Source organism: Homo sapiens, chromosome 1, assembly GCF_000001405.40.
Source record: "Homo sapiens chromosome 1, GRCh38.p14 Primary Assembly".
In the NCBI taxonomy this organism is placed as follows: domain Eukaryota; kingdom Metazoa; phylum Chordata; class Mammalia; order Primates; family Hominidae; genus Homo; species Homo sapiens.
The window spans coordinates 63513275-63526985 of record NC_000001.11 but is presented as its reverse complement, the minus strand read 5'-3'; the positions used below and the strand labels follow the sequence as shown (position 1 = coordinate 63526985).

Here is a 13711-nt window from a genome sequence, read left to right as displayed (position 1 = left end):
CGAGACCAGCCTGGCCAACATGGCAAAACCCCGTCTCTACTAAAAATACAAAAATTAGCCAGGCATGGTGGCGTGCAACTGTAATCTCAGCTACCCAGGAGGCTGAGGCAGGAGAATCGCTGGAACCCAGGAGGCAGAGGCTGCAGTGAATCAAGATCGCGCCACTGCACTCCAGCCTGGAAGACAGAGCAAGACTCCGTCTCAAAAAAAAAAAAATTTATTGGATGTCTGCCTAAACATTTAATGTATATGAATTAAACACAAATACTTAAAATTCAAAATAGAGCATTTTAGTAATTTTAAAATTATGTAAATCAAAATTAAACATGACTTTAAAAGTCAGTCATGTGCATTTGCATTTAAACTACTTTACAAATAATGTATTTTATTTAGACATCAAATAAATTTTAATCTTGTCAATTCTTGTATTCCTCAAAATACATTTCCTCAAATAGATCTTATTGGATACAAACTCAAGACACTGCTGCACAAATATGTCAGGGTTTTGGTTTAAGAAAATTCATTATAAAATTGGCAAAATAACTCAGTTTCTCTACCCATAAAGTTATTAGCCTTGATGAAACTGACATGAGTAGTCAGTGTTATCTAGTACTGTTGTTTACTACTCTCTCATGACTAAAGATGTCCAAATCATTTGATACTCCTGGAAAGAACCAAATTTGGTGGTTTTGGGGACCTTTGTAATGAGAGGAATTTTTAAATGTGATAAAGGACAGAAGCAATAAAAGACAAAACAAAAAATAAAAATAAGAAATAAAAAAACCCCAACTCAATTCTCTTTTAAAAGTTCACTTATCTCTCAGTACTTCACTTTTTCAGACATTCCACCCATTTTTACACATCCTTTACACTTTCCTCAGTATGGGTCAAATTCAGGCTAGTGACTTAAGAGGCCAAAAGCGTTTTAATTTTATTATGATAAATCTTAAAGCACCAAAATGAGAATTAAAAGTATCTTAAGCAAGTAGTAATTGATAGAAGCTTTCAATTACCCATCTAGTTTGTATAAACATTGAAAGTTTTATTTTGTAGTTCCTAGAATATGTAACTATATGATATGACATAATAGCTTACTGTAGTTCCATTGCTCAAGCTTCACTAAGAAACTGGGATGATTCAACAAGGTAATTCTAATTTCAGTCTTTCGGACCTATTTATTAACTTTCAACAAAAAGGTGAAAGATTTAAAAATTTTAAAAATTTACCTAAGTAAAGTTGATCTTTAGAAATAATGTTTTCCAAGCTGCTTTTGAAGACAGTTAAGTAGGCAGCTCTACAATTCATATAAAATATTTCCTCTTCAGTTAGTGGAAATTTCTTTGTTCGAGGACTCTCTGAAGGTGTTGATTTCTGACTGGAGAAAGTTGCATCGCTTCGTGGACTGATCGCCATTCTATTGGAAAATAATTTAAAAATGTGTTTGTCAATGTGAGTCACTAAAACACAAATGTCACCATGTCTTTCAAATACAGGGAGGAGAATCAAGATTTTATACATAGAAGAAAATTTATAACATATATGAAAAGATCAAGATATTAAAAGTTTTATATGTGGAAGTAAAAGACGAATACTATAGTTGTATATGGACGTATTATATATTAAACAAGAATAAGCCTTTGGCAGTTAATTTCTAATTTTAGATATATACATATGTATATATATAATTGTTCAAATATGTGATAATAGCCAAAAGAACAAAGATATACACAAGAGAAGAATCACTGAACAAAGGAAGAGCACACATCTATTCTCTCAAAATACGAAAGTCAGATGACAGTCTTCATCAGGTTTTTAAGAGGAGCAAATCAGTTAATACATGTGAAGCATATACAATATTGCTTGACACGTAGTAAGTGCTAAATAAACTGCAGATAATGAGAAACTCCAGAATAATGAGAATCGGGATATGAGTGGTAGTTGACACCCATCTTCCACAGCAGGATCAACAAGATCATTTCATTAACATCTCAATAATGCAGCCCCACATTTCAAATAGCTATATTTTAAAAGTCTTATTTATAGCATTATCATAGTTTTACTGTGTTCCTTTATTAATAACAATATTTGGGGTTTGTATAGCACCTCTGTACATAAGAGCTTAAAGAACTGTCATACATCTTGTCTTATCCCTATTACAGCGGTCAGGTATTTTTTTGTCCGTTTTACAGATGAGGAAATTGAGGGGTAGCAATGTCACCCAGCTAGCAGTAAGTGGCAAAAAGCCGTAAATTTCACGAACAGTTTCTTCTTTGTTAATGTGGATATAGTACTGAACAATGGTTACTATGGGGTATTAGATTCTACTGGTGGTCTAACAGCTTCCAATATTACTCTACCCAGCTTTGACTTCTAAAAATAGATCTCCAACCTAATAAATTGAATATTTCAAGTTCAATAATAAGATAACACAGGTAGGGTCCCCTTCAGGACTCATTGCATTCCTACTCAGGAGGCCTAAATCACTTGCACCTTTTCGAATTATATAGATCATTTACACTTGGGAAAGAAAGATAATAATTGCTTATCATGGATGAAGTACCCTATTTATAATACGCAGGCCGCCTGCCTGACACTTTCATATTACACCAGATTTAGAAGGACCCCACAGGGATGTGGTGTCACAGTCTGGTTACTGCAAATTGGTAATACTATAATTAAGCATCAGAGTTCTAAACACATATGTGTGCATGCATCTCCTCACAAATGTGAAAGAAAACTGTTTCAAGAAGTAAGGGAGAATGAATTTCACTTTGCAATAAGCAATTTTAAAATATAAGTATATTTTAGGATCGTCCTCAAATATTCTTTCCAAACAAGGCAACTCCCTCACATGGAAATCCCAAGGCAGAAATGTGCCAGAATTTTATTCTTTTCCTTTCTGTGACGAGAAACCAAACTAAAGCTTAAATAAACATATAATTGCACCCCCCGCAGGCTTGGAAACCTCCCTTACTTAAAACTCCGGCCCGAGACTGAGACAGGGGCCTAGAGAGTACATTGCAGCAAACGGCTCCATAAATAACCAGCCACACAATAGCAAGAAAAATAAACTGTTAACAAGCGCCTAAGGCTTCTACAGGGCCAAGTGAAAACAGAAAGCCGTCCAGTCACCGTCCCTACACAGTGAAATACCGTCACAGGTAATCTCGGGCACCATCTCTCTATTTTTGTATTCCTCTGGAAATAAAACCGCATTTACATGTACATTTTAGGTACATACATGGACCAAATGTTTATGACAGAGAAGTAGACAAAGCAGAGGAAGGAGAAGCAGCTGCACAGAGAGGGACAGAGGGAGCGAAGAGACAGAGACAGCGAGCTGTTTGCTACCTAATTCTAGCTCACAAACAAGGAAGCGCAGCCAATTCTCTTCGGCGATTCAGCGTTCCTCTCACCGCAGCTGGACAGATCTCGGCCTTTCTCTAATCACCATGGCAACTGCACCTCACCGCCACCGGAAATAAGATGCAGAGCCCTTCTCCAAACGATCCGGCTAGAAATCTAGGAAGCGCTGATCCGGAGCGCACAGAGACAGCTGTGTTGCTCCTCTATCGCGGGGGTGGTATGGCCAGAGTAGTGAGAGAAGGTGCTCTGTTACACCAGCAGGAAATAGGTGCTGTCCTGGGCCTAGAACTCCCCGCTCGCTCCTTTGCTCGCGCACACCCGGATCCTTCGTCGCGGGGAGGATGTTTCCGCCCGGCCGCGGTGGGCTTGACGCAACGTCCAGCGCGCGCTTTTCATGCCTTGGCGTTTCCTTTGGCGGATTTTCTGTTTTCGGAAGTTGCTGGGTTCGTTTTATTCAGCGGCAGTGGTGCTTTCCCGAATCTCAGAATGCCGTAGGTATCTCCTCCCCAGGTATTGCTGTTTTGGGGGCCCTCTGCAAGAAGAGAAGATATTATGTGGCCCAGTAGCCTTTCTCGTTTTCCTATTTTTTCGGAGTATGAACTTGTCTCCTCTGTCCACAGGCAATTCCCTTCGCTTGGTACCCTCAACTCTACGTCTCCTCCAGCGGTACTCATACGATAGTCCTCCTTCGCTTTCTGTTTCTACGATGCTTTTGACAGATTTCGTAAACTGTGGGCTGTATTTAGGTGATGTCTAACTTGAAATAACATAAATAAGGTTGACACACAGGATGGGACAGAGTAGATGAAAACACGCCTTCGTAGTTTGTCAGTCCCTTGCCTTCATTAATGTGGCGCGTTCGTGTAAACCCGTGGGAGAACTCATGGACTGAGTGGGTCTAGATACCTGGATTCCAGATAAGACTCTTTCACTGTTGGGCAAGTCACTTATCGACCCTGAGCTTCGTTTTTTTTTACTTACACAAATAAGTTTGTACTGCATGATCTCTAAATTCCCATCTATGACCAATAATCTGATTATTGAGAATGACCATAGTGGGAATAGGCATTGTGCTAGATAAGATTCATCTGTTTTTCATATCCTTCATCCATCCTATATTGAGATGCATAAAATAGTTGCTACCCTATAGAAACTTAAAAAAGCCATTAAAGGTTGGGGGAGTGGGGTGGATATCAAACACCTGTAATTTCTCCTTGGCCGTCCTTGTCCTCAGGTTGATTTAGGTACCCCCTCTAGTGTAACCTGTTCCTTAGTTTATTTCAGGATTAAGTAAAATGCAAAGTAACACAGCTGGGGAAATTTTTGTATCAAATAGGAATTGACATGAAAGGGGAAAGCTGTACAGAAATGATAACCTATATTTATTGAATCTTGAATTACAATGTGGGTGCTGTATTAATCAATTTATCTACGTTTTTTCATTGAATCCTAAAATACTTTAGGGGATGGGGGCTGCTATTATCTTTACAGATAAAGAAACCCATCACCTAATAGGGTGTTCAACACAGCTGCCAATAAATGCATGTTTTACTGATGCCCTTAAAAGTTATGGATTATTGAGGAGGTTTTCCTTTCCCCAGAATTAAGCAAAGAGACTTGTTTCCCTACTCTTGCATTAGAAAAATCATCCAGTTCTCAAATAAACAAAGCTGCAAAGATAATGTCACACAATCACACACACAAAATCCCTAAGAATACAGTGAAAACAGAGGTGTATTTGCCAAACAAGTGGTAATACCTCCTGAACTGTGTGTATCTGTGTATAGGAGTGGGGAACCAAAAAACTATGAAAAGTGGAACTTTTTTTTTCTTTTTTTGAGGCAGAGTCTGGCTCTGTTGCCCAGGCTGGAGTGCAGTGCTGTGATCACAGCTCACTGCAGCCTCTACCTCCTGGGCTCCCACATGCCACCATGCCTAATTTTTTTATTTTGTAAAGACAGTGTCTCCCTGTGTTGCCCAGCCTGGTCTTGAAGTCCTGGGCTTAAGTGATCCTTCCACCTCAGCCTCCCAATGTGCTGGGACTATAGGAGTTAGCCACTGTGTCAGGCCTAAAAGTGGACCTTTTTGACAACTGTCTTCCTAACATATGCACACAAGATGTTATATTAGGCTTTTAGATAAGTATATTCTGGTAATAAATACACAACCTTAAAGTTGAGGTTAACATCTCACATATATAGCTAATATATATGTGAAACTAGCAATTACTTTGCTAATTTTCTAAGTTTTAGCAAAGTGATTTAAGACTAAATCAACAGTTAAGTAATGCATAAAACGTAATGGCATGTTAGTAGAGAATCTCCATCATTGTTAGTAAATTAAGTGTTTTTTTTTTTTTTAATGTGGTTACTGGTGAGGTCATAAATGAGTGGTGCAAATAGTTATCTTGGCAAGTTACATATGCAGGTGGATTCATTTTTAAGTGATGTTGAAATGGTGACTATTTGGTATGTATTTGGAAGACTAAATGTGTAATATAACTTACGGGAGGGTGTGATCTATCTTTTTTCTAATTTCTTAGAACCTTGAGCAGAAAAAACTTCAATACAACAATGAGTAGTTGTGAAAATATATATGGTCCAAATGAATCTAAAATAAATAAGAAACAGCAAATGTTCAGTGACAATAGAGCGGATGGATGAATCTTAACATAATGAGTGAAATAACCAATTTGTATGAGACTACATTTGTTATCCTTATAAAACTTAAGAACACGCAAAAATAAGCTACTTATGGTTATATATGTATATGATAAGATTATTGTTAAAAGGCAGAGAAATGATAAATACAGAGAAATGATAAATACAGTTTAATAGATGCCTTTTGGGGGAAGCAAATAGATGCATGTATACCCAGTCATATTGGTAATGATCTAGTTCTTAAATTATGTGGTGAGTTTATGCGTGCTTATTTTCTAATGTTTTATAACTTGCACAGCTTACATTTTTTCATTAGTATCCATTATTCATTAGTATTACATTTATTCATTTAGTATGTACTACTTAAAATGTTTTTTAAAAGGATTTAGAGATTACCTATCTTAAGTCCTCCCTAAGTGTAGCTTTCTCTGCCTTCTCTTTGATCCTTTGGAGGAAACAGATGAATTAGATAAATGCTGCTGTTGGTTTCATTAGGCTAATCATCTTCCCTTCCAATCTTGCTCCTCTTTCTGTGTACATTCTGAAATTAGTGGCACAGTCATTTCTCTATCTAGGTTGAAACCTTCACTTTTTAAAGATTTGAAGTGGAAAAATCATGGACTTTGGAGTAAGACAAACCAGGATTTGAATCTTGAGTCTGTTAACCAGCTGTGTGCTCCTTAGATTGTTACTCAGTGTCCTCATTGATAAAATAGTTGCTCAATAAGTATTTATTAATTGAATGATAAAGTTGCTACTTTGGAAAGATTTCATTCTATGTAGACAGATACATGTCTTTTTAGTAGCTCTTGCTGTAAGTAATCAAATCCCATTCTAGACCTTTTTTCTTCTTCTACCTTTTCTTTATAAAGCTTCCTTTAAAAAGTACCATTTGTTTAGTCTTGCTAATTAGTGTACATCATCATGCTAATTCAGCCAAAGATACTCTCTACCAGAGTTAACTTTATTCTGTTCCAAGCTATGACTGAACTAAAGCTATAAAGTTGGAATAGCATTAGTGTTGTAGAAAAACTATTCGTAACAGTAACAGTGGGGGCCATTCTGCTGCTGTATTTATAGTCTGAGAGTTTTCTGAGAGAACTTTAAAATGTGCTATATTTTTTCCAAGATAAGGGAAAATGAATATAAACATATTCTGGATCTTTATTGTGCCTATATGCTGTAATCATTTTGATGCTACTGCCAGGTACAATGATTTTTATTTTGTGGGTTGATTATAAAGAAGTAGGTGGGTGGAATGATGTGTCAGGCCAAGTAAAAGTTAACCATTAAATAAACATCCTTTGAATTATAGTAGATATTCAAAGTTATATAATTTCTTTTATAAATAAAGTGTCCTGCATTTTAAAAGAAGATTGGTGAAATTTTTAGTACTTGATATAAGAAAAATATGAAATTTAAATGCAATTCTTTCCTGCTTGTAAAAGTCAGTAAAGTCTAATAGAGGAAGGTATAATAGAGCCTTTTTGGCTGAGCGTGGTGGCTCTCACCTGTCTATTTAACTTAGAATTTTTTGACTTCATAATAGTGTGAAAGCAATATGCATTCAGTAGAAACTACTTTAAGTACCCATACAACCATTCTTTTCTTTACTTTCAGCACAATATTCAATAAATTACATGAGATGTTCAACACTTTATTTTAAAAGAGATTTTGGGTTAGATGATTTACCCAACTATAAGTTAATTTAAGAGTTCTCAACATGTTTAAGCTGTGATGTTCAGTAGGTTAAATGTGTGAAATGCATTTTCAACTAACATTTTCAATTTACAATGGGTTTGTTGTAACATAATCCTGTTGTAAGTCAAGGAGCATCTATATATTTTTTGCTTGCAACTTCTTAAAAAGGTGAGAATGTTTAAAGCAAAAATTAAACACTATTATGGGGTTATATGTAGACATAATATATATGATACCAGTGGCACAAAGTGTAGAGGGAGTTGACTATAATGTTGCAAGATTCTTCTCTTTTACATGAAGTAGTACTGTATTATTATAACTCTAGATAGACTGTGGTATGTTAAAAAGGCATACTGTAATCCCCAGAGTAACCTCTGAAAATGCAGAGAGGCATACCTAAAAAACAAATAGAGGAATTGAAATGATATATTTAAAAATAATGTTAATTCAAAAGAAGGCAGGTAAAAAAGAACAAAGGAACAAAAACAGATGGGACAAATAGAAAACAACTATCTAAATGGTAGCCCCAACCAGATAATTACAAGTTTAAGTGCAGTAAAGACATCAGTGAAAAAGGTAGAGAATATTATAAGGCTAGATTTTTTTTTAAAGCAAGTCCTAACTCTTTACTGTCTATAAGCAACAAAGTTGAAAGTTAAAAAAAAAAAAGAAAGAAAAGAAAGGGAAAGGTAGATATAACAGTCTAACAGGAGAGAAACCAAATGATCAATATCCAGAATGAAAGGGTAAATTGTACTTAGATGAAAGAGAACATAAACTATCAATATCCAAAATGAAAGAGCAGAATACCACTAAAGATGCTATAGATATTGAAAGAGGTAATATCATTAAAGCCTTTATTCCAGTAAACTTGACAACTTATACAAAATTGACAAATTCCTTGAAAAATACAACTTAGCATGATGGCATAAGATGATACAGAAAATCTGCATAATTAAGGAAATAGAATTTGTTACTAAGAATCTTCCCACAAAGACCCAGACGATTTCATTGGTTAATTGTACAGAGAACATACCCATTCGTGAGAAAATAAAACCCTCAGCAAACTAGGAATAGGAGGCAACTTCTCATTTCTTTGAAAAACCTATAGATAATATATTTAGTATCGAAAACTTTTTTAAGATTAGGAAAAAGGCAAGAACGTGCCCTCTCACCACTTCTATTCAAAAAAGCACACACAGAAAAACACCCATAGTGTTAAAAAGGAAAAAGTGGGGCCAGGCCCAGTGGCTCATGCCGGTAATCCCATCACTTTGGGAGGCTGAGACAGGCAGATTGCTTGAGCCCAGTAGTTCAAGATTAGCCTGGGCAATATGGCAAAACGCTGTCTCTACGAAAAAATATGAAAATTAACAAGGTGTGACGTTACGTGCCTGTAGTCCCAGCTACTTGGGAGGCTGAGGCAGGAGGATCACTTGAGCCGAGGAAGTCAAGGCTGCAGTGAGCTGTGATTGTGTCACTTGCATTCCAGCCTGGATGACCCTGTCTCAAGACAAACAAAAACAACAACAACAAAAAAGGAAAAAGTAAAATTAATGATTCAACAATGACATCATGTATGAAGAAAATCCTAAAAAATCTATAAAACAATTTTCAGAACAATTTAGCAAGGATGTAGGATGCAAAATCAGTGTACAAAGATCAATATATTTCTATATTTCAGGAATAAACACCTGGAAATTGAAGTTTAAGATTTTTCATTTATAATTACATAAAAACATATAATAATTTAGCATAAGACATGCAAGACCTCTACAGTGAAAATTACAAAATGTTCCTTAGAGAAATTAAAGATGAAGATAAATGAGAGTATTTTTATTTATTTTTTATTTATTTTTATTTATTTTTATTTTTTTATTATTATACTTTAAGTTTTAGGGTACATGTGCACAATGTGCAGGTTAGTTACATATATATACATGTGCCATGCTGGTGAGAGTATTTTTAAGTGATAAATGTGGTATTATTAAAATGTTAGTTCTCACCAATGTTTAGATTTAATGCAATCCCTGTCATAATCCTAACAAACATTTCTTTTTAAGTTTTGCTCTTTTTTTATTTCTACTGTTTAAAATGGATCTTTTTTAAAAAAAGTTAAGTGGATGAAAACTTGTATAATAGTATTTGGTATTATCTTTATCTTTTCTGTTTTATATTTCATTTTTCATGTAATCTAATTTTCCTTCTTTGTACTTTCTTTTTTTGAGTATGATCATTTATACCTAACTTATTTGTTTTTATTTTTTATAGACTCAGGGTGTATATGTGCAGATTTGTTACAAGGATATATTGCATAATGGTGAGGTTTGAGCTCGTAGGTGCCCATCACACAAATAGTGAACATTGTACCCGAAAGATAATTTTTCAACCCTCACCTTCCTCCCATACTTCCTCCTTTTGAAGTCTCAGTGTCTATTATTTCCCTCTGTATGTTCATATGTACCCATTGTTTAGCTCCCACTAATAGATGAGAACATGTGGTATTTGCTTTTCTTTTTTTTTCTTTTTTCTTTTTTTTTTTTTTTCATGAAACAAGGTCTTACTCTGTCACCCAGGCTGGACTGCAGTGGCATGAACATGGCTCACTGCAACCTTCACCTCCTGGGCTCAAGTGATCCTCCTGCCTCAGCCTTCCAAGTAGCTGGGACTACAGGTGTACACCACCACACTGGCCTAATTTTTAATTTTTTTGTAAAGACAGAGTCTCATTGTGTTGCCCATGTTGATCTCAAACAATCCTCATGCCTTAGCCTCCTAAAATGCTGAGATCACAGGTGTGAGCACTGCCACACCCAGTTGATTTTCTTTGCTTTCCTTTCCTCTTTTTTCTCTTGTTTTCTTTCTTTTCTTTCCTTTTCCCTTCCCCCCCCCTTCTCCCCCACCTTCCCCCGCTCCGCTTCCCTTCCCCTCCCCTCTCCTCTTTTTTTTTTTTTTTTTTTTTGAGACATGGTCTTGCTCTGTCACCCAGGCTAGAGTGCAGTGGTGCAGTTTGCTCACCACAACCTCTGCCTCCCAGGCTCACTCTGGACTCAAGCAATCTGCTCAGCTCAGCCTCCCAAAGTGTTGGGATTACAGATGTGAGCCACCATGCCTGGCCTAATTTTCTGCTTCTGAGTTATTCCAGTTAAGATAATGATTTCCAGCTCTATTCATGTTGTTGCAGAACAACACGGTATCATTCTTTTTTATGGCTGCATAGTGTTCCATGGTGTATATATACCACATTTCTTTATCCAGTCATCCATTGATGGACACAAGATGATTCCATGACTTTGCTGTTGTGAATAGTGCTACAATAAATGTACAAGTACATTTGTCTTTTTGATATAATGATTTATTTTCCTTTGATAGATACCCAGTAGTGTGGTGGTTGCTGGGTAGTTCTTTTTTTTTTTTTTTTTTTTTTTTTTTTAAGTTGGAGTCTTGCTCTGTTGTCCAGACTGGAGTGCAGTGGTGCAATCTTGGCTCACTGCAACCTCCGCCTCCCGAGTTCAAGTGATTCTCCTGTCTCAGCCTCCTGAGTAGCTGGGACTACAAGCATGCACCACCATGCCTGGCTAATTTTTGTATTTTTAGTAGAGATGGGGTTTCACCATATTGATCAGGCTGGTCTTGAACTCCTGACCTTGTAATCTGCCCACCTCAGCCTCCCAAAGTCCTGGGATTACAGGCGTGAACCATCGTGCCTGGCGTTGAATGGTAGTTCTATTTTTAGTTCTTCAAGCAAACGTTTTTTAGAAATTGAAAACTGATTTCAAAATTTGTATGGAAAGGCAAGTGACTTGCAGTAGCCAAAACAATTTTGAAAAAAAAGAATGAAGTTGGAGTATGTACACTAACTAGACATGGCATAAAGTGTTGGTAATGAACTCAATGTGGTTTGGGCATATAGAGAAATAGGTAAATAGAATAGAATAGAAAGTCCAGAAATAGACCCACAAAGGTACCAAAGCAGCTCAGTGGGGATAACAGAAGATTTTCTTCCCAAGTGGTGCTGGCATACCCAGTGGGGAAAAAAACAAAACACCTTGACCTTCACCTTATATTACATACAAAAATTAATTTGAGATACATTTTAGTCCTAAATGTAAAAAGGAAAGTTTCTGGAGGGAAATATTTGAGAATATTTTTACAGTCTGAAGTAGGTGAAATTTCAGGCAAGACGCGGAAAGCAATAATTATAAAAGAAAAAATGATAAATTATGCTTCATCTAACTTTTAAACTTTTGCTCATCAAGAGATACCGTTAAAAAAAGTAAATTTTCTGTTTTTCTTTTTTTTTTTTTTTTTTTTGAGACAGAGTCTCGCTCTGTCACCAGGCTGGAGTGCAGTGGCACGATCTTGGCTCACTGCAACCTCCGTCTCCTGGGTTCAAGCGATTCTCCTGTCTCAGCCTCCCGAGTAGCGGGGACTACAGGTGTGCACCACCACACCCAGCTAATTTTTGTATTTTTAGGAGAGATGGGCTTTTACCATGTTGACCAGGATGGTCTCAGTCTCTTGACCTTGTGGTCTGCCCACCTTGGCCTCCCAAAGTGATGGGATTAGAGGTGTGAGCCACCATGCCCAGCCAAAAAAAGTAAATTTTCAAACAACTGACTGGGAGAAAGTATGTAACAGATATATATCAGACAAAGGATTTATATTTAGGATAAGAAAGAACTCTTACTAATCAACAGTAGAAAGACAAAAATGTTATTAAAATAATGGCCCAAAGATTTGAACCAATAGTTAATAAAAGAAGATACACAAATGAACCATAACATGTTGCTAGACATTTTGGCAGTTTCTTATGAAATTAAATAAATATACACCTACCCAATGATCTAGCACCTCTACTTCTAGGTATTTATTTATCCAAGAAAACTGAATGCAGTATAGCTAAGGAAAACAAAACAAAACAAAAAAACTTGTAAAAGGTGTTCTTGGAAGCTTTACTCATAATGGCTAAAAACTAAAACCAAGTGTCCATCAACAGGAAAACAAATAAATGGCTTATTAAGATAGAATATTAATTAAAAATAAATGATCTACTGATGTGCAACAACCTGGGTGAATCTAACAGTTATGCTGAGCAGAGAAAATAGACACAAGTACATACTGTATAGTTCTATTTATATGAAATTCTAGAATAGGCAAAAGTAATCTATGCTGGAAAAAATTAGAAAAGTAGTTGTGTATGGTATAGATTATGGACTTGGAGGGAGCCTGAGGTACCCTCCTCATATGATTCAAATATTCCATATCTTGATATGGATGTGAGTTTCAGGGATATAGTACATGTTTGTTAAAACTCGCATCTATACACTTAATATTTGTGCTGCTTGCTATATGTAAATTTTACATTAAAAATATTAGGCAAATACTGAACTTGAGTAAGAGATTTGCTTTCCATGGTGGTATGTGTTAGCACTTCTGAAACTAGTTTTTATGTGTTCTAGGCTTGGTCAAATGAGTAAGTGTATTGTGGATGATGGGAGCCAGTTTCTCACCTTTGGATGGAGGAATTTCAAATTTCTTGACTTGGCATTGGAGATGTCAATATGAAATCATAGTTTTTAAAAATATACATATTAAAGATAGAGGTAGATAGAAATGTTTTTGTGTGTGTGTGTGATGTGTGTTCCAGCTCTGTCCTCTGAGAGAGACTGTAAGCGATGACGTAAGTAACAGTGAACACATTTAGTGCCCAGATTTTGGTGTCTAAATACCATTGTCCACTAAAAAGAGCTAGGTCTCATTGGAGAAAAAGCTGATTCCAAAGCTGGTGCAGAGAAAACTTTTTGTGTATGCTGGAAAGGTAGGAAGTGCTCAAAGCGTTATGGGTACATAGGTTAAACAGGAGCCAGGGTGAAGGGGAAGAATGGTCCCATTGCCAAATTTGGGACAGTTAAACATCAAAATAAATAATGATAGGAATGGCTTAAAATCCATTGGCTAACATAAAAATCTGTGACACTGTA

The 13711-nt window shown here is 36.2% G+C and overlaps 2 protein-coding genes and 1 long non-coding RNA gene across 22 annotated transcripts in view, besides 2 other annotated features; 1 reads left to right on the top strand and 2 right to left on the bottom strand.

Moving 5' to 3' along the window:
* The window catches only part of EFCAB7 (EF-hand calcium binding domain 7), a 61846-nt gene extending 58385 nt beyond the window's left edge, over positions 1-3461 (bottom strand). For 4 of the 6 annotated variants that reach the window (XR_946779.4, XM_011542301.3, XM_006710976.4 and 1 more), the window contains exons 1-2: positions 3417-3461; positions 1227-1414 (exon numbers count right to left, since the gene is read on the bottom strand). Coding sequence is in view for 5 of the 6 variants with exons in the window: in XM_011542301.3 (XP_011540603.1) it covers positions 1227-1414; positions 3417-3454 (226 nt within the window). In the remaining variant the exon portion in view is untranslated. Of the gene's footprint in view, positions 1-1226; positions 1415-3351 lie in introns of all 6 variants that reach the window. The other 2 variants (NM_032437.4, XM_006710977.2) reach the window with 2 other exon arrangements.
* Positions 1-13711, top strand: part of ITGB3BP (integrin subunit beta 3 binding protein) — an 88418-nt gene that overhangs the window by 2202 nt on the left and 72505 nt on the right. For 11 of the 15 annotated variants that reach the window (NR_045147.2, XM_047416577.1, NM_001347148.2 and 8 more), the window contains exon 1: positions 3761-3857. The exons of 1 other annotated variant lie outside the window; for it this stretch is intronic. Coding sequence is in view for 8 of the 14 variants with exons in the window: in NM_001347145.2 (NP_001334074.1) it covers positions 3853-3857 (5 nt within the window). In the remaining 6 variants the exon portion in view is untranslated. Of the gene's footprint in view, positions 1-3760; positions 3877-13711 lie in introns of those variants that run through there. 3 more of the 15 variants (XR_007058557.1, XM_047416578.1, XM_017000854.3) reach the window with 1 other exon arrangement.
* Positions 3498-3577: an enhancer, noted in NCBI's record as "active region_1126". NCBI's record gives its function as "activates an Ori minimal core promoter by ATAC-STARR-seq in GM12878 lymphoblastoid cells {active_cell/tissue: GM12878}" and the evidence as "EXISTENCE:reporter gene assay evidence [ECO:0000049][PMID:35858748]".
* Positions 3739-4362: an enhancer, noted in NCBI's record as "H3K27ac hESC enhancer chr1:63988295-63988918 (GRCh37/hg19 assembly coordinates)". NCBI's record gives its function as "activates a minimal SCP1, AML or CMV promoter by ChIP-STARR-seq in naive H9 embryonic stem cells {active_cell/tissue: H9 hESC(naive)}" and the evidence as "EXISTENCE:reporter gene assay evidence [ECO:0000049][PMID:30033119]".
* The window catches only part of LOC102724319 (uncharacterized), a 29842-nt gene continuing 25322 nt past the window's right edge, over positions 9192-13711 (bottom strand). Inside the window, exon 3 of the long non-coding RNA XR_426701.4 lies at positions 9192-9230. This is a non-coding gene — a long non-coding RNA (uncharacterized LOC102724319). The remainder of the gene's footprint in view (positions 9231-13711) is intronic.